Source organism: Homo sapiens, chromosome 7 (genome assembly GCF_000001405.40).
Source record: "Homo sapiens chromosome 7, GRCh38.p14 Primary Assembly".
In the NCBI taxonomy this organism is placed as follows: domain Eukaryota; kingdom Metazoa; phylum Chordata; class Mammalia; order Primates; family Hominidae; genus Homo; species Homo sapiens.
Genome location: NC_000007.14, coordinates 111,455,992 through 111,480,213, shown reverse-complemented (window position 1 = coordinate 111,480,213; position 24,222 = coordinate 111,455,992). Strand labels below are relative to the sequence as shown.

Sequence of the window (24,222 nt, the reverse complement as noted above, 5' to 3'; positions counted from 1 at the left end):
TACTCGGGAGGCTGAGGCAGGAGAATGGCGTGAACCTGGGAGGCGGAGCTTGCAGTGAGCCGAGATTGCGCCACTGCACTCCAGCCTGGGCAACAAAGTGAGACTCCATCTCAAAAAAAAAAAAAAAAGTTGGTATCCTTAAGACAGTCCTTAACAGCAATTTATTTTTTAAAGTAGGATAAACTGCCTTCACAATGCTTATACACTTAATTATGTAATAAGACATTTTCTTAGTTCAGAGACAAATTACATCTTAGAAATGTTTAATAAATTTCAATTTTGAATTACCGAGATTTTGTGTTAATGTAACCATAGGAGTTATACATAGCTTCTGCTCATCCTGTTTTATAAATTTTATATCCTTTGAGAGGTAACTATAAGTTTTCAAAGAACAAAATTATACAGGCAACATTCTATTAAATACTAGTGCTTATGTTTATAAATGTTTTCATTTTTACTCTGAAATAATCTAGTCTCTGAGAATGCTGTTTCTTATATTTAAAAAAATGAGTAAGTACAAGACGGCATTTGCAAAGGACCTCCCAAATACACGTTAAATATTATATGTAAGGAGTCAGATTTAGCTATCGAGGAGAAGCATTTTGAATGTAAGTTTACATAATAATTACAACAAAATTAATTAGGATATTAGAGTAGTGAACAGTTTAGGTTTCAAGCAGGAAATAGAACACAAGGCAAATCAACCGTCATATAAGGGTGTCAACTTATCTTAAATACTTTTGGAATTAATAAGATATAGAGGCATACATAAAGATAGGCCACAGATCAGTCAGTGGCTGATTTCTATTTCTGGCTGTAAATGGACTAGTTTATTTCAAACTAAGGCCTACACTGTGAATAATGAAAAAAACTGGATTAGAAAAATATATATATCTAAAGGCATTGGAGCACTACCAAGAGCTAAAGATCTAAGAATGAAAGGAAACACACTGAAGTGAGCCCTGTATTTGGTGTCATTTTTCACCTTGGGTTCTGTCAATTTGCAAGCAACACAGGCCAAGCTGAGAAACCAAGCAGCAATAGCTAAGATGGTGACAGGATGAGCAGAACTTTTGGCAGTTTCACAGTGCCTGCAAGCTAAAATTCAGGAAGGAGGAAGAAGGACCCTGGTAAAACACTCTAAGCTTTTCATTGGAATTCTTGTGGGGCTATATCCTAGGAGTTAGGAAGAACTATAAATAGGCCACTACTTACAAAAATCAAAATGTATTCTTTGATAAACCCAATCTTGATTTTAAGGTGGTCTGCCTTTACTTCAACTGTCTGTCATTGCTGGAAGCAAGAGACATCATGCAGAGTTTCTATAATTTTTTTATACGCAACACTTGGCATTTAATAAAAAATTATACCATGCATATTAGAAGCCAGGACCAAGAAAAACAATATAAAACAAGAAAGGATAGAAACAGTCTCACAGTAATCTAGATATTGGAATGATTAGACATGGACTATTAAATAACTGTAATTGGCCAGGTGTGGTGAGTCATGTCTGTAATCCTAGCACTTTGGGAGGCCGAGGTGGGAGGATCACTTGAGCTCAGGAGTTTGAGACCAGCCTGGGTGACATAGCAAGACTTCCCTGGTCTCTACTTAACCAAAAACAAACAAACAAACAAACAAACAAACAAACAAAAGCTGGGCATGGTGTTGCATGCCTGTAGTCTAGCTACTACAGAGGCTGAGATGGGAGGAAGGATAATGTGAGCCTGGGAGATCATGGCTGCAGTGAGCTATGGTCTAACCACTGCATTCCAGCCTGGGTGACAGAGTAAGACCCTCTCTCCAAAAACAGAAAAAAATTATGATCAATATTTTTTTAAAGTGATGAAAAGGTGGATAATTTCAGCACAGAATAAGAATCCATAAAAATAATTTAAAGAAATTCTAGAAATAAAAACTGTGACTGAAATGAAGAACTCAATAGATTAGTTTATTAGAAAATTAGACAGCTGAGGAAAGAATTAGTGAACTGGATGATGGGTCAATTAGAAAATATATAGAATAGTGCATGGGAGGAATAAAAGAATGGAACACACAATCAATAGTGTAAATAATATAATAGTGGAAAAGGCTGACTACCATCTAATTGGAGTCCCAGGAGAATAGGAGAGTAGGAATTGAGGAAGAAGCATTATCTTAATAGATTCAGGCCAAGAGTTTTCTAAAATCAATGAAAGACATCAATCCACAGAATGAAAAAGCACTATTGGAATAAATACAATGAAAGCACATTTAGGGCACATGGCAGTCAAACCACTGAAAACCAAAGAAGATAAAAGTCTATTTTTTTTTTTGAGGCAGAAATTCACTCTTGTTGCCCAGGCTGGAGTGCAATAGCATGATCTTGGCTCACCACAACCTCCACCTCCAGTGTTCAAGCGATTCTCCTGCCTCAGCCTCCTGAGTAGCTGGGATTATAGGCATGCACCACCACACTTGGTTAATTTTTTATTTTTAGTAGAGATGGGGTTTCTCTGTGTTGGTCAGGCTGGTCTTGAACTCCTGACCTCAGGTGATCTGCCTGCCTCGGCCTCCCATAGTGCTGAGATTACAGGCATGAGCCACTGTGTCCGGCCGATAAAAGTCTTCAAAGGAAAAAAGACATTTCCTTCAAAGAAGCAAAAATATAGCCTACTTTTCAACTGATAGAAGACAGGAGATAACTGAATGACATCTCTATAAAGTGGTAAAAGGAAAAAAAATGTCAATCTAGAATGTTGTACCTGTTGGAAATATTCTTAAAAAATGAAAGAGAAATGCATTCTTTTTCAGACAAACAAGCCCCTGGCACATGCTCAATTGTTCTATTGGACTTCATGTACAAAACAAATTCAAAGGGTTAAGAATTTCAAGTTGGTAGCTTCAGAGCATTAAGCCCCAAATGTGGGGTCCCTTCTGAGCCCAGGATTATGTGTGACTGCACTGGTCACATTGCCATGAAGCCAGCCCTGGTGGTTGGTAGAGGGGTGGGCACTGGACCTAAGCAGGGCCAATCAGAGCCATTCCTGGAAATGGATATATAAATATTAGGAATGCAAAGTTATTTATTTTGTTAGAGTTTGAACAACGTGATCTGTAGAAAACCAGTCACATTTCCTTAAGGATGCATCAATAAATATGAGCTAAATGTAATAATTAGAACTTTGGTTTCCAAGCAGATTCCATGCTCTAATTCCCTGGATAGTGAATATAATAAGATGATATATCCATGAATAAGTTACTTTACATTGCCAAAGGGACAGATGTAAATAAGGCTACTAATCAGTTGACCTTAAAATAAAGGTTATCCTGGATTATCCATGTAGGTCCAGTGCAATCACATGAGCCCTTAGAAACAGAGGCAGAAGTAGTAGTTAGGGAAGTGCAGCATATGAAGTGAGAGATCCAAAGGACAAGAAGGATGCAACACATTGTTACAGCCTTTGAAGATTCAGGGGCCATGGGCAGAGGAAAGCAGGCTGCCTCTAGAAGGTAAGAATAACCTTCAATCAAAGATCAGCAAGGAAACAAGTACCTCGGTCTTACAACTACACAGAATTTTGCCAACAACTTAATGAGCCTGGAAATAGATTATCCTGGGATTTCTATAGAAGGACCTAGTCCCACTGACACCTTGATTTTGGCCTTGAAAGATCTTAAGAAGAGGATCTAGCCAAACCTACTAGGCTTCTGTCTTTGAGAGCTGTTAGATAATAAACAAATGTTATTTTAAACCGCCAAATTTGCTGTAATTTGTTACAGTGCCAATAGAAAATCATCTTAAGCAATAAAAAATACAAACAGTTCTAAAACCACGTTTACTATGTACAAGGAAATGTACTTTTACAAAAGATTATTAAGTGTTTGAAAACACCGATTTTATTTACATAATTGACTAATTTAAAAAGTATTATTTTCTTTTCTGTGAAACAAATCTGAAAGCCTCTATTTGCCAGTTCTTCAGTGCAAGACTATGGGTCTAGGCTTTGGGACATCTTGTTTCTACTTTGAGTTGCATCATTTTTAATTGGCTGAGTGACCCTGCACAGGTTACTTTAACTGTTCCTTGGATCAATTGCATCATCTGCAGAATAAGAGGTACAGACTAGTTGATCTTTAAGGTCTCTTTCATTTAAAAAATGCATGAAAATAGCTTTAGGGATCAAAATGGAATTGTTAGGAAGTTCAACATAAGAATTAATCCCTCAGGATATCAGAAAACTATGTTGCATAGTTTTAAAGTTGGAGTCAAAACTGACTTGAAATTTTTTAAAGAAGAGCTATATTGGCACATGAAATAGAAATTCTGGAACAGATAGGAGACTTGGAACACCAGGTCTTTATTGGTGAAAGACATCAAATGAATATATACTTATAAAGATTATGTCTGTAGTTGCAATTATTGAAAATTGCAAACATAAATGTTGGCAGGTAGACGTTTTACAGAAGGATGAGATCAAAATCCTTTCCTATTTATTTAAAATTACTCAAAATAAGATAGTGGTAGAAATCTTTGTTTCTTTGTTCCTTGTAATTTATTCTGGGAGTAGAGTTTTTAATATTCTAATGGTTAATTTTGTTCTGGTTATCTCCATATCTCTTGTCAACTTAAGATGTGTTTCCCACTGGTAAACACAGTGTCCGCTGGTTCTTGCTAAATAAAGATACCATAGTCTATATTCTGCTTCATATTTTAGGTCTTGGAAAAGTGGAAGAAATCTCTAAACTAAACTTAAACATAACCTTATTTGATCCAAGGTCAGTAGATACCTTTCATTTTTCTTTTCCTTTTAGAAAAAAAAAAGGCACTGTTTTGGTGAGTAGAGGTGGCAAGGCTGGGAAATGTGTCGGTAGCTGATAAGAAAGGGAAAGGCCTTAAAACGACACCCACCAAATTTTATCAGTGCCTTGGAGCTCAGGAAAGTATTTCTTTCCAAGAAGAGAACAGGAATGCCTTTTAAAAAAATTGTTTATTTCCATTAAGGAGAAACCTCAAGGGCCCATGAAAGGTTATTCCTTTGCATAATCTAGTGACAGGTTTACTCATACTCAGAGGTTACATTAATACTTACTGATGGCACAAGTATAAGTTTCACTTTATTAAAAATTGTATGGATGTTGGAACTGCTGTTGAAGAAGCTGGCTTGGTTTGATTTAGCTATGGATATGATAATTATAATATGGCTTTCTGTACTTTTAGAAGTCATAAGTTATATTGCAAGGATTTGTGTATTTGGATTGCTAGAAAGTTACCGTATAGTATTATGACAGTACAGTAGGAAACATTTCAGTGTGAAGAATAGTATGTCTCACATAAATTTTACCATAGAATTAAGTAAGAATCATTAAAATATTCCGGGTTTATTAAAAATTCATTATTCTACTAGATGATCTTTAAAGAGCAATAAGAACTTGAAGAAATAATAGGAAAGCTTTGGTAACAATGACACTGTGTTAATTGAGTTGCAAGAAGGTAAAGAATGTATTAACAGAATGGATCCAAATTTGGCAAAAAAGGTTTGTAATAAATCAAGGGGGGAAATCAGTTAATAAAGAAAGAGGCCAATTATCAGTGAGGGGAGGGGAGTGTATTTAATGATTCTAAATGAAAGGTTAAACTGCTTGGGTGAATTTCAGTTTAACAAAAAGGAAGAAAAGCAATATGGATAATTAGGCAGTAATAAGAGCATACTGAAAAAAAAAAGCGGAAAACTGCCTTAGGTGCTAGGGGAATATTGGCTAATGAACTTAACCTCCTGCAGTTATCTTTGAATATTCACTTTTGCTTTATAAATGGGAGAAGTGATGTTTTTAGTTATTTTCAAGGAGGTATGATTCCTTAGCACACTTTATCATATTGTGGACTTTAAAAAAAGTAATTTCAACTTTTATTTTAGATTCTGGGGCACATGTGCACTTTGTTACTTGGGTATATTGTGTGATGCTGAGGTTTAGGGTATGATTGATCCCGTCATCCAGGTAGTGAGTATAATAGCCAATAGTTAGTTTATCAACCTTTTTCCCCCTTTTTCCCTCCCCACTCAAGTAGTCCCCAGTGTCTATTATTGCCATCTTTATGTTCATGAGTGACCAATGTTTAGCTCCCACTTTTAAGTGAGTACTTGCAATATTTGGTTCTCTGTTCCTGCATTAATTTATTCTTAGGATAATGGCCTCCATCTGCGTTCATGTTGTTGCAAAGGACATGGTTTCATCCTTTCTTATGGCTGTGTAGTACTCCATGGTGTATTTGTACCACACTTTCTTTATTCAGTCCACTGTTGATGGGCACCTAGGTTGATTCCATGTCTTAGCCATTGTGCATAGTGCTGTGATGAACATATGAGTGTGTGCATCTTTTTGGTAGAATGATTTATTTTCCTTTTGATATATGCCCAGTAATGGGTTTGGTGGGTCAAATGATAGTTCTGTTTTAAGTTCTTTAAGAAATCTCCAAACTTCTTTCCATAGTGGCTGAACAAATGCTGTTAAATGCTGCTTATTGCAAATATTCTCTAGAATATTGATATTGAATCTACCACAGATGTTTATGCAATGTCATGACTATCAACTGTCAGTTATTCTTAACATGAAGTAGGTTGACATAAACACCAACAATGTCATTCAGTCTGCCAGTATTGAAGGAGCAGTGATTCTCTGTAGCTCCATGCTGGATTACGCCTTGCTAAGAACAGTCAACAGTGGGACACTTAGCATCTGCTATATAGTAAGCCAAAAAGGGACATATACAACCAAGGAAAACTTGAAAACTTTTAAGGATGTGGTAAAGCTCAGGTCTTAGTGACATCTGGCTCTGTACTTTTGTATTTTTTTGTATTTTGTATTTTGGGGGAGGCTGCCACATAGGAGTCCAGATGGAATAACTTTGGAATAGATGAATACACTAACTCCAGTTATGTGAAGAGGGGCCACAAACAGCCAGGCAAAGAAAAGAAGACATGCAGATCGCCATGGAAAGCTCCTCTTTGGAAGCATAGTCACCCTGTGCATAGCTAACTCTATTAGCTAGATTTTCACCATCCTTTTATCTATGTGATAACATTGAAATAACAGCAAATATTCAAGAAGTGGAGCTGATATTCTTTATTTTTATTATTTTTAATAATGTCATTTTGGAATGACAATAATAGTTTTATTTGTTAAAATAAATATAGGGTATACGTACAAAATTAAGCATGTTGCTTAATCAAATAATCTTCATTCATTTTTATCAGCACTATTTTGCATTTTTTTTCTTTTTTCTTTCTTTTTTTTCTTTTAGTAGAGACTTGGTTTCGCCATGTTGGCCAGGCTGGTCTTGAAATCCTGGCCTCAAGTGATCCACCCACCTCAGCCTCCCAAAGTGCTGGGATTACAGGCATGAGCCACTGCACTCAGCATAGCACTATTTTTGGAGCAGTATTTCTACAAAGGAAATAACTACCATGACTACAACAGTTATTAGCTTATTAAGATGTCTCATAAAATTAAGTTTTAAAGTTTCAAGTGATGTTTACTTTTCAATTTCACATGGAAAGTTAGCATGAAAAGACTAATTTTTTAAATAATTGTGTCTTTTCTTAATGAAAAGCATAAATACATTTATAGTTGTTGGAGTATATTGAAGAAATTACAGCTAAATATTTTGGTTGGTTACAATTATTGGTGATTCTGGAACTGTGGTTTACCTACAACATAATGGTTGAGTGTCTTTGAAGATTTTATTGGGCAAAGCAGGATTTTAAATCTTGCCAGAATTTGAAATACAGTATATCATCATATACTATAGCTATATTTTGAATATAACTTTTAATTTTGTATGAATATTACATTAATGAGCAACATGATGCCTTAGTAAGTTACCACTATCAAATGGCAGATAATAATGGTTGAGAGTAGTTTCTCTGAACTTTTCCAGATATGTTTTCTTAGAACTTTTTTTTAAAGAGATGTGTACTTGAAAGGAGGATATTCTCTTTAAAATTCATGTGGAATTGGTTGAAATAAATTCAGAGTATATATATACATGCCCAAAGTAAAACACAACAAAACTGAATCGTGAGTTGACATACGTTAACAATATTAGTTAAATTACAAGTTGACTGGTGAACAAAGGATACTCTTATGGAGATTATGATTTTAAGATTTTTTTACAAGTCATTTTATTGAATGTGGTACAGAATAAGATCGTATATAACAGTTAAATTTTCACTGACATTTCAAGAGGTGGAATAATAGAGGAAATACCCACGGACTAGGTTCTAGTCTGGGTTTTGTTTCCAGTAGCTAGGTGACCTGAGTAAGCCACTTAATTAGTTAGGACTTTATTTTCTTAAAGTCATGATGTTGTCCTGGGTGTCCCCTTCATTAACTTTCACACTAATATGATATATATATAGGCTGGCTGTGATGGAACCTTTCTGAATCCTGTTCTTCCAGTTTAGTATTTATTCTAGAGGATAACATTTTGAATGTTCAGGGACGTTCAAAAGAAATATAACGTGAGCCATATATGTGATTTTAAATTGTCTACTAACACTTTGAAACAAGTGAGAAAAGAAACAAGTGTAATTTTAATTTTAATATTTTCTAACCCAATAGATCTAAAATATTTCCACATGTAATTAATATTAAAATATTAATGAGATATTTTACATTTTTCGAAATAAGGTCTTAAAAATCTGGTGTTGGTTTCATTTGGCACATCTCAGTTTGGACTAGTTGCATTTCAAGTGTTCAGTAACCACATGTGGCTTTTGGCTACTGTATTGGACCTTGCTGCTAAAGTTATGGAATCTTTATATCTATACCCATGAATCAAATTTAGAGACTTTAGAGTCAGCTTTAATTACCTTTTGTTTTCTCCTCTCTTCTATACAATAATGACAGAGACTTGCATTCCCTAGAATCTGTCAAGATTTGCGGGTAAATCAGTACATTTTGCTCTTATTTCCAAGCATCTGGAAAGAGTACTGATGTTTATTTCCAAACATCTGGAAAGAGATATTTCTGGGAAGAAATATCTGTGAGTCCTCTTCAATTCCTTAAGTCACTTACTGCCTTAGTTTAGTAAAATCAGACTTCTATCTCTAATATTCTACAAAAACTCTTTGGAAAAATTCTCAAATCTTCTCATTGCTAAATCCAATGGCCACGATACAAATGTTTCTTCATCTCTTAGCAGAAATGGACAGTATGAATTCTTCCTCCTTGAAGTTTTCTGGCCCTTTGTTGTATATTACATCCTTTTTTCTTGGTTCTGTTTTAGCTTTGTATGCTTTGCTGGTTCCTTTTTTGGCCCTCTTCTCTTTATTTATTTATTTATTTATTTTATTATTATTATACTTTAAGTTTTAGGGTACATGAGCACAATGTGCAGGTTAGTTACATATGTATACATGTGCCATGCTGGTGTGCTGCACCCATTAACTCGTCATTTAGCATTAGGTATATCTCCTAATGCTATCCCTCCCCCCTCCCCCCCACCCCACAACAGTCCCCAGAGTGTGATGTTCCCCTTCCTGTGTCCATGTGTTCTCATTGTTCAATTCCCACCTATGAGTGAGAACATGCGGTGTTTGGTTTTTTTGTCCTTGGGATAGTTTACTGAGAATGATGATTTCCAATTTCATCCATGTCCCTACAAAGGACATGAACTCATCATTTTTTATGGCTGCATAGTATTCCATGGTGTATATGTGCCACATTTTCTTAATCTAGTCTATCACTGTTGGACATTTGGGTTGGTTCCAAGTCTTTGCTATTGTGAATAGTGCCACAATAAACATACGTGTGCATGTGTCTATAGCAGCATGATTTATAGTCCTTTGGGTATATACCCAGTAATGGGATTGCTGGGTCAAATGGTATTTCTAGTTCTAGATCCCTGAGGAATCACCACAGTGACTTCCACAAGGGTTGAACTAGTTTACAGTCCCACCAACAGTGTAAAAGTGTTCCTATTTCTCCACATCCTCTCCAGCACCTGTTGTTCCCTGACTTTTTAATGATTGCCATTTTAACTGGTGTGAGATGGTATCTCATTGTGGTTTTGATTTGCATTTCTCTGATGGCCAGTGATGATGAGCATTTTTTCATGTGTCTTTTGACTGCATTAATGTCTTCTTTTGAGAAGTGTCTGTTCATGTCCTTCACCCACTTTTTGATGGGGTTGTTTATTTTTTTCTTGTAAATTTGTTTGAGTTCATTGTAGATTCTGGATATTAGCCCTTTGTCAGATGAGTAGCTTGCGAAAATTTTCTCCCATTTTGTAGGTTGCCTGTTGACTCTGATGGTAGTTTCTTTTGCTGTGCAGAAGCTCTTTAGTTTAATTAGATCCCATTTGTCAATTTTGGCTTTTGTTGCCATTGCTTTTGGTGTTTTAGACATGAAGTCCTTGCCCATGCCTATGTCCTGAATGGTATTGCCTAGGTTTTCTTCTAGGGTTTTTATGGTTTTAGGTCTGACGTTTAAGTCTTTAATCCATGTTGAATTAATTTTTGTATAAGATGTAAGGCAGGGATCCAGTTTCAGCTTTGTACATATGGCTAGCCAGTTTTCCCAGCACCATTTATTAAATAAGGAATCCTTTCCCCGTTGCTTGTTTTTGTCAGGTTTGTCAAAGATCAGATAGTTGTAGATATACACAATAACAGACAAACAGAGAGCCAAATCATGAGTGAACTCCCATTCACAATTGCTTCAAAGAGAATAAAATACCTAGGAATCCAACTTACAAGGGACATGAAGGACCTGTTCAAGGAGAACTACAAACCACTGCTCAATGAAATAAAAGAGGATACAAACGAATGGAAGAACATTCCATGCTCATGGGTAGGAAGAATCAATATCATGAAAATGGCCATACTGCCCAAGGTAATTTATAGATTCAGTGCCATCCCCATCAAGCTACCAATGACTTTCTTCACAGAATTGGAAAAAACTACTTTAAAGTTCATATGGAACCAAAAAAGAGCCCGCATCGCCAAGTCAATCCTAAATCAAAAGAACAAAGCTGGAGGCATCACGCTACCTGACTTCAAACTATACTACAAGGCTACAGTAACCAAAACAGCATGGTACTGGTACCAAAACAGAGATATAGATCAGTGGAACAGAACAGAGCCCTCAGAAATGGCCCTCTTCTCTTTTCCCTTTGTCCACTGCTCTTAACTTCTTGCCTACCTGATTTCTTTTTGAAGCATCATACCTGTAATTTTAGCTCTCCATTGGATATATGTGTATGATGATATTCCTCAGACTTCTCAAACCCAACCTAGCCCATACCAAACTTTTTTTCTTCTTCTGGTTACTATTTTGATTATTGCCATCATATTTAGTCACAAGTCAAAGTTAGAGTCACTTCCATCTTTAACTTCTAGGTTTTTCTTATCATCTGTATCCAGTTAGACACAGAGTCTTTTTGGGTCTACCTGAAAAATATCTATTGAATATTTTTCTTTTCTCCATTTACTAAGTCCAGGTGCCACATAGATCTCTCCTTCTTTGACTATGATATGTTTTCTCTAGTACATTTTCCACATTGCTAGCAGATTTATTTCCAACATGATTTGGATAATATCACTTTCCTGCTTAGAACTTCTGCTGATTCCATTTTCTTCTTATATTGCATATGAGTCCTAGACTGCTGTTCTATCTTTAACTCTAGACATTCTCTTTTATAGTTCTCTCTCCTCTAAAAGTCAAGACTTAAAAATATTTCAAATGATGAAATTTTAGGCTTCTTGATGGCTACTGGGAGAAACTAGCCATCCAATATGGATAGTATGGCCCCTACAGCCTTGCTATAATAATAATAAATGGGCAAATACAATGTATTTATGTGATACCCATAATTAGGTTAATAAGCATATTTCTTTTTTTTTGTAAGTAAATCCCTGTGTGGATATTTTAGTTGTTGGGAAGCAAGGGTTAATAACATCCAGGTAACAATGAGGGATGTATGTTTTATTTACACATATGCTTTCTATACTTGGAAACTAATATAGCAGATTATCTTGGTTAAGCTGTACAGCTCAGCTGACTTTTATAAGAAAACAATAGATCCCCTGAGGTAATACTAATGTAAGTAAAAAGTAATTATGGCCATTAGTATATCTAGTTGGGATGAGAAAGAATGACTTTAATTGTTACCTATTTACTAATATTTTTACAATTGGTTGTTTCCTGGCCTCTTTATTCTCCTAGCGTATTTGAGATGAGATGAGATGTTAGTTCTCTAAAGTGCAACATATTTTTCTTCTTAGCCAAATCCTGTTATTAACCTCATTTGCCTTAGCTGACAACAGGTTTCCCTTAGGCAGTGTAAGCATCGATGCTCTGAGGAAGAGGATAAATATTAATTGGAGTGTACTACTTCTTGGAGACCTTTAAGAAGTGCTAAATAGTCTGAGAAAGTGATTTTTGCTTCTACTTCGGGAGTGTTTGTTTAAATACTTAATTACTTAATTTGAAAGAATACTAGAGGTCATAAACAGTAATGAATATATTGTCAACTAGAATATTTTTGCATATACTCAGAATGTTTTGTCCTTTTCTCAAAACTAAAGCAAGGTAATAAACAATGATCATAGTTAAAAGGGTAATTAACCTTACCGTCTCTGTAATCCCGAGGAAGTCTAGACATGAACTCAGGAGTTGGCATATTGTTTTCAATATACATACCAGCCATCTTTGAACATTTATTCTGTAAAATGACTTGTATTATGCTTAAGTGAGTATGAGCAGTGTGACTCACATAAGTAGGAGAAAAGAAGCCAAAAACTGCAACAAAATATTCCCTTTAAAATGAATACCATCTTTACAGAACTGAATATATTTCTGGACTGTATATAGAATTGGAAATTTTAGAACTAAAAGTTTTTAAGAGCTTACTATGTGTCAGGAATTGTTCTAAATACTTTACATATATTACCTCATTTAATCTTTCCAATAGCACTGTGAGGTAAGAACTGTAATTTTACAGTGAGGAAACTGAGGCACATAGAGATTGGGTGACTTGCCCAAGGTCACCCAGTAGGTGCTGGGGTGAGGATTTACACCAGGGCCTTCTCGCCTCAGGGGCTGTGCTTTTGACCACTTGGGTCTTCTGCTGATCAGTGATTTAATCTGCTATTTGGTCAATCTGGTTTTTTACTTATGAACTTTCCTGCTACTACTCTTAGCTCATACTTAGTACAGTTGTCCCTTCATATCCATGGGGAATTGGTTCCAGGACCTCTCAATTGTACCAAAATCCAAAGATGCTCAAGTCCCTGATGTGAATGGTGTAGTATTTGCATATAACCTATGGACATCATTTTGTATACTTTAAATTATCTCCAGATTACTTAGGACACCTAATACAATGTAAATGCTATGTAAATAGTTGTTACACTGTATTTTTTAGGGAATAATAAGAGGGAAAAAATGTCTGTACATGTTTAGTACAGACAGTTTTTTCCCAAATATGTTTGATCTGCTTTTGGCTGAATCCATGGATGTGGAACCCACAGATATGGATGGCCTACTGTACTCTTATTTCTAAGTTGAACCTTTCTTGAGATCTAGTTATTTCTGATGTATTGATAAATGTACTTATATAAATACACAGATATAGTACATAACTACATCTCAGGGCCATTTTATACAGTAACAGTAATCACTTTTTGTTCATTATAGTTATCGTAACTGAGGTATATTTCTGCTAAGCCAAGTAAGGGAATTTTTTAAATAAGTTTTGTGTGTGTTTATTTTTACTTTAAAAAGATGGTTTATAATTTGCAAAGATCAATGAGGATTTCTTTTCCCATGTTCTCTCCCCAACTCCTTACCCTTTCCTAAAAAGCGACTAAATTTGATAATTTTTTTTATTATACTTTAAGTTTTAGGGTACATGTGCACAATGTGCAGGTTAGTTACATATGTATACATGTGCCATGTTGGTGTGCTGCACCCATTAACTTGTCATTTAACGTTAACTTGTCATTTAACATTAGGTGTATCTCCTAATGCTATCCCTCCCCGCTCCCTCCACCCCACAACAGGCCACAGTGTGTGATGTTCCCCTTCCTGTGTCCATGTGTTCTCATTGTTCAATTCCCATCTGTGAGTGAGAACAAGTGGTGTTTGGTTTTTTTGTCCTTGCGATAGTTTGCTGAGAATGATGGTTTCCAGCTTCATCCATGTCCCTACAAAGGACATGACCTCATCATTTTTATGGCTGCATAGTATTCCATGGTGTATATGTGCCACATTTTCTTAATCCAGTCTATCATTCTTGGACATTTGGCCTGGTTCCAAGTCTTTGCTATTGTGAATAGTGCCGCAATAAACATACGTGTGCATGTGTCTTTATAGCAGCATGATTTATAATCCTTTGGGTATATACCCAGTAATGGGATTGCTGGGTCAAATGGTATTTCTAGTTCTAGATCCCTGAGAAATCACCACACTGACTTCCACAATGGTTGAACTAGTTTACAGTCCCACCAACAGTGTAAAAGTGTTCCTATTTCTCCACATCCTCTCCAGCACCTGTTGTTTCCTGACTTTTTAATGATTGCCATTTTAACTGGTGTGAGATGGTATCTCATTGTGGTTTTGATTTGCATTTCTCTGATGGCCAGTGATGATGAGCATTTTTTCATGTGTCTTTTGGCTGCATAAATGTCTTCTTTTAATTTTTAATTTTTTTTTTTTTTTTTTTTTTTTAGTGACACCTGGTCTCAAACACTACTACCCCTCCCCATCCCCAAACAATTAAACAAAACTAAGTACACATATTTTGGGAGGAAAATCACTATTAAGGACCATTTCTTTGGCTGAAGTAGGGGTTTGAAAACTGTCTTTTAAAAGCCGGAATAGACCCCAGGAAGTGAGTGGGAGTGTAGTGTTTGACATATAGCTGAAATAGCCCAGGTAGGGGATTGATGATTTATCAGAATCTTGACTGAGAGCAGAATTATCAAAAATACGTCGTAAGCAAATAAAACACTTGAGGACTTAGGATGTACACCATATAGGGGTCAGAGAGCCCATTATGGCAGGAGTGACAGGTGTTACTGATCTTTTGGACAATGGGTAGTTTACATAGGAAAATTTAAAGAGTTGGCTGTGTTGGCCGGACGCGGTGGCTCACACCTGTAATCCCAGCACTTTGGGAGGCCAAGGCGGGTGGATCACAAGGTCAGAAGATGATTGAGACCATCCTGGCTAACACGGTGAAACCTTGTCTCTACTAAAAATACAAGAACAAAATTAGCCGGGCCTGGTGGCGGGCGCCTGTAGTCCCAGCTACTTGGGAGGCTGAGGCGAGAGAATGGCGTGAACCCGGGAGGCGGAGCTTGCAGTGAGGCGAGGTCGCACCACTGCACTCCAGCCTGGGTGACAAGCTAGGCTCCGTTTCGGGAAAAAATAAAATAAAATAAAAAAGAGTTGGCTGTGTTTTTTGTATATTCCCAGCATACATTTGATTGGTTGGGTAGGGTCCGTGTAAAAATGATTGAGGCTAGAGTGACTTAATGTGTAGGTCAAGGGAAAAACATCAGAGGAAAAATTAATCATAATAATAGCAGCTAATGCTCATAGAACACTTACTACAAGCCAGGTATTGTTCTAAGCACTTTATATAGATTAATTGATTTAATAGTTAAAAAATTAATGTAAGTAATTTGGCATATATTTCACATAGCTGTCCTGTGACTTGTAAACTTTACTTATTTATTTACTTATGAGGCATGGTTTTGCCGTGTTGCCCAGGCAGAGTGCAGTGGCATGGTCATAGCTCACTGTAATATTCAGCTCCTGGGCTCAAGTAATCCTCCTGCCTTAGCTTCCCAAGTAGCTGTGACTGCAGGTCAACACTACCATGCATGGCTAATGTTTTCATTTTTAAATATTTTGCAGAGGCAAGGTAATTGCTATTTTTCTCAGGCTGGTCTTGAATTCCTGACTTCAAACGATTCTCCCACCTCGGCTTCCCAAAGTATTGGGATTACAGGTGTAAGCTATACCTGTAATCCTGGCCTTGTATATTATTACCTTTATGCCCATTTTATTAGTGTACAGAGAGGTAAATTAACTGGACTTATGTAATCTAGTACGTGGTAGAGGCTAGATTCAAAGTGAAGCAGTCTGCCTTCACAATCCATGCTCCTGACCTCTGCCATATCCTTCTAGATTAAGATATAAGTGTGAAGGAGGAAAGGAGCAAAACAGTAGCAAATGTATATATGACAGAAAGTGATGTCTTTACTACCAATTATTTCAAATCTCAATTTGTGGCAGCCATGCTGAGGCTAAACTACTTTTTAGAATTTTGATAAACAAATTATGTAAATACTCTAAAGAATTGACTTATCCCTGTGTACCAGATAGGGCCTTGGTGAGAAACAGACGGTACATTCAATGGGGACAATGAAGAGAGTTTAATGAATGGACTTCATTATAGAGGGATGGGTGGTAGTGCAGAATGCAACCATTGAACAATAGTGAAGTGCCCAGGGACTAGCAACAGTGGGATGTCATCATAGCCTGATGGCAGAAGGAAAAAGAGGTGGGAATGGAATTACCCATTCTGGTGAGAGCTAGAATTATGGGAGCGGGGCTAGTGGACAGGGAAATAGGACTGTGGATAGCTGAATGTAGTTGCTACCAAAAAAGTGGCCTGGTGGGGGTATGGAGTGGCAACAAATACCCTCCCTTCTCTCTTCTGTTGTCTTGTGATCTTGAACAGGTGCCTCCCATTTGCCAACTTGAAGCTAGAAATTAAAGAAGCATGGATGATGCAGTTCACAGAGGTTAGCCTCTGGGATGTGGAGCAGAAAGGAGCAGGGAATGGATTTAGAGGGCAACAGAGATTAACCAGCATGTCACATGTTATGGGTTGAGTTGGATCCCCCCCAGAAAAGTTGAAGATCTGGGTCTTTACAGAAGTAATCAAGTTAAAATGAGGTGTCATTTGTATGGGTCCTAATCCAATATGAATGGTATCTTTATAAACAGGGGAAATTGGGACACACACACACACACACACACGGAAGATGATGTGAAGAGATATAGGCAGAAGATGGCCATGTGCAAGTCAAGGAACACCTGAGGCTGCCAGAAACTAGGAGAAAGGCATGGAACAGATCCTTCCTTACTGCCTTCAGAGGGACATAGCCTTCCTGGCACCTCAATTTCAGATTTCTGGCCTCCGGAACTGTGAGAATACCTTTATGTTGTTGTAAGCCACCTCGTGTTTGGTATTATGTTATGGCAACCCTGCAGAATAACATACCATATGTCATGAAAAAGTTCTTTATTGATCAGATTTGTTTTCAGTTTCTTTTTAAGTGTATATATAGCCACAGAGCCACGAAGACCTTAGAAATCAACTGATGTAAAATACTGATTTTGGAGATGCAGACCTTGCCATCGGTCACACAAACTTAATGGCAGGGGCAGAGCTAGGGCCCTATAGACGAACTGTATTAGAATTCTTAGAGGTGGACATGATAGGGTTTTAGTTAGGTCTGTAAGCACATTTTATCGTTGAACTTCTAGTTAAGAAAAGCTCTATCACACAAAGAAATGATAAATGTTTGAGATGATGGATATCCCAGTTACCCTGATTTGATGATTGCACATTGTATGCTTGTATTGTCACCCGTACCTCATAAATACAACTATTATGTATTCACAATAATTCAAAAAAAATTTTTAATAAAGGAAAACCATTATTTCTATATTTTCCAAGTTTTAATATCCTGATCATTAATTTCTGGATGTAATTAACTGTGTTTCATTGGTTCATTAATTTCCTAATCTCTACTTTGAACCAAAATTTTCTTGTTAATATGAGGCAGTTTTGGAAAACCATTGGGCACAAAGCTGTGTTTTGAAAATTTAGAAGAAAAATAATCTTATTCAGGTGATGATCATGTTATTCATTACTTTGTTTAATGATTATAAATTCACTAAGATGTATCCAATTGGGAGACTATTTATGTAAGCAAGCTGGAAATTGACATGTGTACATAATAAGTTGCTCAAACAATTACTGGTTATACTTTGAGTCTTACTTTGGTTGATGATTTAAAAATTATACATTTAGAATATTTATTATTAAAATAAAAATATATAAATAAGTATAAAGATGTTTGTAAAAATCACTTATCAACTCCCCAAGAAGATACTATAGTACATACACATCCAGGTTTTTTTTATCTCTGTGTTTGTGCACGTGTGTGTGTATGATCTATATAAAATGGAATTGTTCATACAAACAATCTTATAGCCTACTTTTAAAAACTCAACATTATAGTGGCAAATTATTTTTTTCCATGACAGTAAATACATTTTGAAGGAATGCTGTGACGTTGCAAGTGATACAGAAACAGTTGTTTCCAGTTTTTACTAAACATTATGTTAAATGTATTTTTGCCTTGTAAACAATATGAAAAACATTCCTGTAGGTAAATCATTGTACTGTTATCCAACTATTATTCTACATGGAATCAAGTTTGCATGATGAGCAAAGAGCATCATAAGAGCGATTTCCAGTCTCCAGAATAAAGTGAAAACTCAGGAACATATCTCAATAGGAAAAATTTGCAGTAGGTTGCAGAGACATGCCAAAGTCAATGTACAAACAAAGACTTCAAAGAAAAGAGGAGTTAAAAAAGCCTTCACTATAAACCTTAAGCTATATATTGGGAATAAAAATGATTACAACTCTTTAGGGAAGCAACTTGGCAATGTGTAGCAAGAGCCATAAAAATACTTTCATCTTTGCTAGAATGTGTGTTCCTGTGCGTGTGCGTGTATGTGTGTGTGTATTTCAGGATGATTTTTTTTGCTTTTAATTTTTTGTTTGAATGTTTTATTTTGAAAAAAATTAAATGTGCTTCACTTGGAACTCCCATCTGCTTCCCCAATCTGTATTATTTTGTACCAAATCCCAGATACCATATTGGCTTTTAATTTTGATTATTGTTTTTGATATATAGTAATTCAGTTGTGAGGAACGTATTTTAGGAAAAGAATTTGAAATATTGGAAAGGCTTATGTTTAATAAGTTCCTAACAGAATTATTTGTAATGGTACAAAAATTGAAAGCAACTATCCAGCACTAAGTCAAAATATAAATTGTGGAATGTACACTTGATGGAATACCATACCTAAAGTGAAGCCTGTGAAGAGTTTATGGTAACATGGAAAAAGATTATGCTGTTAAATAAATAAATGAATAAGATGGTTAAGCATGTATATAGAATCAAATAAGCAAGCAAAAACATGGCTTGGAAAAATATGAGAAGGAACTATACTAAAATGCTGAATAATGATTTACTAGTGTCATAGTCTTACAGTTTTGTGGGTGTATTTTTTCCTTTTGCCTGGGGTTCAATATAGTCCATATTTTTATATTGACCATTAATTAATATTATGGTAGGAAAAATGCAGTAATCTTGAATTGTGATAAAAACATAGAACATCATGTTGGGCTTTAGATAATCATGCAACCTGACTGTAATCTTTTTTTTTGGCAATTGTGGGAACAAATTATAAGGACAAATAATATCAAAGAAGGATTTTGATAGGATTTTCCTTGTGGAAAAATTTGCAAATAACTGCTGTCATTCCTATCTTCTCCTAGTTAACTTTTCTTCTTTAACCACTTAAAAAAAAAGACAAGGAAAACATTTATTAAAAAATCTCCCACGAATACCTTTGCTTATGAAGTATAAACAAAACAATAATAAAATAGCCTGACTCTTTTGTTCTTTCTTTCTAACTTTCTGAAAGGTTAATTTGTTGGCATTAAGTTAGCTTCTCATTTCTAATTTGTCTTCCTCTATTTTCTTTTAGTTCTTGGAATTTGCACTAAAACTCTTAAACATCAATGTGTTCAGCTGTATTTGTGAAAGAAATATTCCTTATCTAATAGCATTTAGATAATAACAGTTAAAATTTCTTAAAAAACTCAATTCGAGTGCCCAAGTAGTTGTGTGCTTATTCTGTTTAGTTTGTTTATTGCATTTCAAATGAGTTTAAGTGTGAGTTACAATTTGTGACTGAGGCTCTGGCTACCCTCTCTCCCTGTACTCCTTTGACCCTCATGCTAAGGTGACATCTCAGCCCACACAGCTGAATTTCAAAATAAAGCATATTGCCTGGTTTTTAGTTGTCTTCTGGGGCCTCTAGAGGTGCAGTAATACAAAGAGCTACTCCATGAAGCATTTTTCTTTCATTGAAATCTAAGATAACTTTATTCAAATTCTCTGATTTTCCAAGTCAGCTTCATTTCAAAGCAGAAAGCCAAGAATGCTTTCCAGACTTTAGCAATTTCCTTTATTGCTCCATATTCTTTCTTAGGAATGACAGTGCACACTTGTAATCCTCCTACCATAGGATCCCCCTGCACTGAAGAGGGAGTTCCCGGTGAATTTCTGATCAGTAAAAAGGATATGTTTTAAGGGAAAAGCTATATTTTACTATAAGAAATTATCGATGATATATAATAGTAACAGAAACTTTTGCCTGTCATTTAGGTTGCTGTGACAGAGGGAAAGGACATGATAAATGGCACTTGAAACTTTTGACTAGAAGTATCACATACCACTTTTGCTTGTATTTCATTGCTCAAAGCAGTGACATGTTTACTCTTAAAGGGGGAGTAAGTAAATATAGTATAATGATATAATAAAGATATAAAGGAATGTTTGTTTATCATTTGTAAGTACTTTCATAGATCTGATTGGTTGATTGATTAGTTTATTTAAATAAAATTTATTGAATGCTTACTGTTTATCATTGTTGTATTACTAGTGCCTATCATATGCACAAGGGACAAGATTCCTGCACTCATGGAGCTAACGTTGTGATAATATTGTTTTGGAAATAAGCTTGTCAGTATTTATCAAGAACCTTAACAATTCTTTTATCTTTTTTCCCCATTAATTTCACTTCTGGACTGCTACACTAAGGAGATATTATTAAATATGAAAATATGTATAATGATAAGATAACAGTTTTCTTTGTAATATTGAAAAATCAGAAACAGATGTCTAGTAGGAAAATAGAGGGAACTCTATTATATTTACTCATAGAATATTGTGAACTCATCAGTTTGTATTAGAAACATTTGCTACATTTTTTAGTGGCTATTTTCAATAACATTTTAGCATCCTGTGGTGACATAAAGCAGATAACATAGTTCATTCTGGGTGTAAGGACTAGCAAATGGTGAAGATTTTAGATTGTTAGGATTACATAGGATAATTATATGTCCCCAAGTATTGAGTTTATATACAAGGAGATTAGGAGGATGTAGAGAAACTAGAAGTTTTGAATTCTAATAGTGTATCCAGTCATTCAAGGAGACATATCCTGAAGGAAACTGGAAATACAGAATCAGAGACTGGTTAAAAATAAAGGCTAAAAATGTTCTTTGGGGATTCATCAGTATGGAAATGTTAGTTGATCTTGTGGAAGCAGATGAGCTGTGAAGGAGTGAATCAAGATGAAGGAGAATATAGGCAGAGAATCAAAGGGGGATGCTGGTGGGATAGAAGAGGAAAAGGATCTTGAAGAGAGTGACAGAAAGAACAGAGGGATAGGAGAATCAGGAAAATTTTCTGTTTGGGGAAATTGTGGAGTAAAGAACTTTTTGAAGGGAAGTAGAGCAGAGGCAGAGGAGAAAGATAGGAGGAACAATTTTATTGGTAATTTAGGGTAGTTTTCCTGGTAACTTAGGGTGGTACAATGGTAAGTTATTCATTTGTTAAAACAGAAAGCATATTATGTTTATTTTTGACAGAATGATAGCATTCCATAAGTTTTTTTTTTTCTTGAGATGGTGTCTTGTTCTGATGCCCAAGCTGGAGTGCAGTGGCATGATCTTGGCTCACTGCAACCTCTGCCTCCCAAGTTCAAGTGATTCTCCTGCCTCAGCCTCCTGAGTAGCTGGGGAGTACAGGCGCACGCCATCACGCCCAGCTAAATTGTATTTTTTGGTGGAGATGGGGTTTCACCATGTTGCCCAGGCTAGTCACAAACTCCTGACCTCCAGTGACCCACCTGCCTCAGCCTCCCAGAGTGCTGGGATTACAGGCGTGAACCACCGTGCCCTGGTGCATTCTATAAAAATTGATCAAAGTCTTTTGACTCTTTAAAAACCACTTTTAATTAAAGACTCGATAGAGTAAGCAGAAATTATTTACATTTTTAATAGAAATTTAGTCATACAATGAAAATGCACTCGAACATTTGTTGATACAAAGACAAGATTTATACTAAGAAGTAGTCAAAAATACCAATTTTATTTATTGATTTATTGGAAAAATAATGTATATCTTGGAGACTGGAGCAGGCTAAGTGACTTGAAAGCTGCAAGAGAGAAAAAAAGGTAGCACATTTAAGCTTTAAATCTTTTAGACAAAAATATCTAGATAGTATGGTTCTGTTTAGAAACTCAAAGATTTATATGCTATATCTTGAAGCAACTAAAGGACATGGTGAACATTTTTCATATGTCACAAAGTGTTTTATATTTTTGCTTTAAGGGACAAATTAGCAATATTTGGAGACTTCACAATAACTTTGTGGGGAGAGCTAGGGCATTTGTAATGAGAAAAATATAGTTTTGCCATGTATGAAAAAGTAAGTTATAGGTCAGTAAAATGTTTCAGTATCTTGTATACCTAGAAGGACTGCTGTGACAATTGTGCCTGTATAGATCTCATTTATCCTTAAAACCTTCTAGTTTTAAATTGGTACAGACAGTGTCCTTAGTCAAGTAGTATGGTTGGAATATATTTAAATTTTTGTTTATATATTCTGTTTTTGGCCCACTGCAGAATCTAACAGACAGGTTTTTATAGTTTTCTTTTTTTTTTCAAGGCCAGTATTAAGTAAAATGTAGCAGGTGATCTGATTTTGTATAATTGATAAATATTTAGAATGTTAGGTTTTTAGTTAGGAAAAGACCTTATTGATCATCTGCATTTCACCTGCTTTTGCAGATAAAGGACTTGAGACACAGGAAAATTAAATATTCTAGTTCCACTAGAAGTGAGCTATCTGACTGTCAATATGTGTATTTCCAATAATCTCTGCTGCACCTTATCTTACAATATCTGTGCTAAAATGTAAATGTAACCAGGTAGAGAATTACCATTGACTCACTGTTGATGTGGTTTCAGTAATTCAGCAAACCAGAATCCTGAGTCAAGTATCATGTAGTAGGTAAGAGAAGAGAGAGGGAAGGAAATCTAGGCATGGGATGTTCAGTCTGTTACTGTAAGAATTGCTCTGGTCTTGGAGACAAAGGGCCTGGGATTCAGTTTTGACAATGCCACTTATTAACTGTGATTTTAGAGCAAAACCCTAAATTCTCCAACCTTCAGTTTCTTTATATATGAAATGGGAATAAACATTGTTGCGGTACTTACTTCTAGGTTAACTGTGAGAATCAAGGCCACTGTGAGAGTCAGTTTCTAGTTTACCAACATTTATTTGCTGTTACTATGTGCTAGGCAATATTGTAGCCTTCAACAATACAAAGACAATGGAAACTTTTATAACATATTACAAAAGGCTAAAAACTAAGAAGTAATATTTAGCAGGAAGTCTGATTGATATCGTTCATAAATATTTAGAATATTTTGTTTTTAATTTGGAAAAGACCTTAGTGTTCAAGAGAGACTTTTGTCTCCTTAGTCTTCAAAGAGATTACAACTTGGAGAGATGATCCTTTAGGCAAAAAGCCTTATGATGTAGTTGATTGAGATTGTCATTATAATAACAGCAGTTTTACAAGCTGTTAACTAATCTAGGATTGAAGAGAGGAAAGGAATGTCAGCAGTACATCAAAAAGGAAGAATATAATTTTCTTAGAAGTAGAGGAATGAGTGTTTTTTCATTTTTATTATTTTGCTTTAAGCCAGCTCCATTATGTGATACCATCTTGTTTGCCCTTCTGCTAGAGACCAAACCACCCCTACCACTGTTTTAGTAAACAAGAGATTGAATAACCTTAGTTCAGTCAAGGATCTCACCTTTTCTTGCCCTAAAGAGTTATTTGGCTTCATTGAGATTTTGACTATCAGTTTTAAGATTCATAAATTTCTAGCAGTCTGTGTGGATTATTCTAGTGTTACTATTTAAGGAAATGATGACCCTCTAGTGACAGGTTTTCTGATTGTAAGCTATTTGCCATTTATAATCCTGCTATATGTT

At 35.7% G+C, this 24,222-nt stretch overlaps 1 protein-coding gene across 25 annotated transcripts in view; it reads left to right on the top strand.

The window, feature by feature from the left end:
- Positions 1 to 24,222, top strand: part of IMMP2L (inner mitochondrial membrane peptidase subunit 2) — an 899,849-nt gene that overhangs the window by 82,279 nt on the left and 793,348 nt on the right. The gene's annotated exons all lie outside the window — the stretch shown is intronic.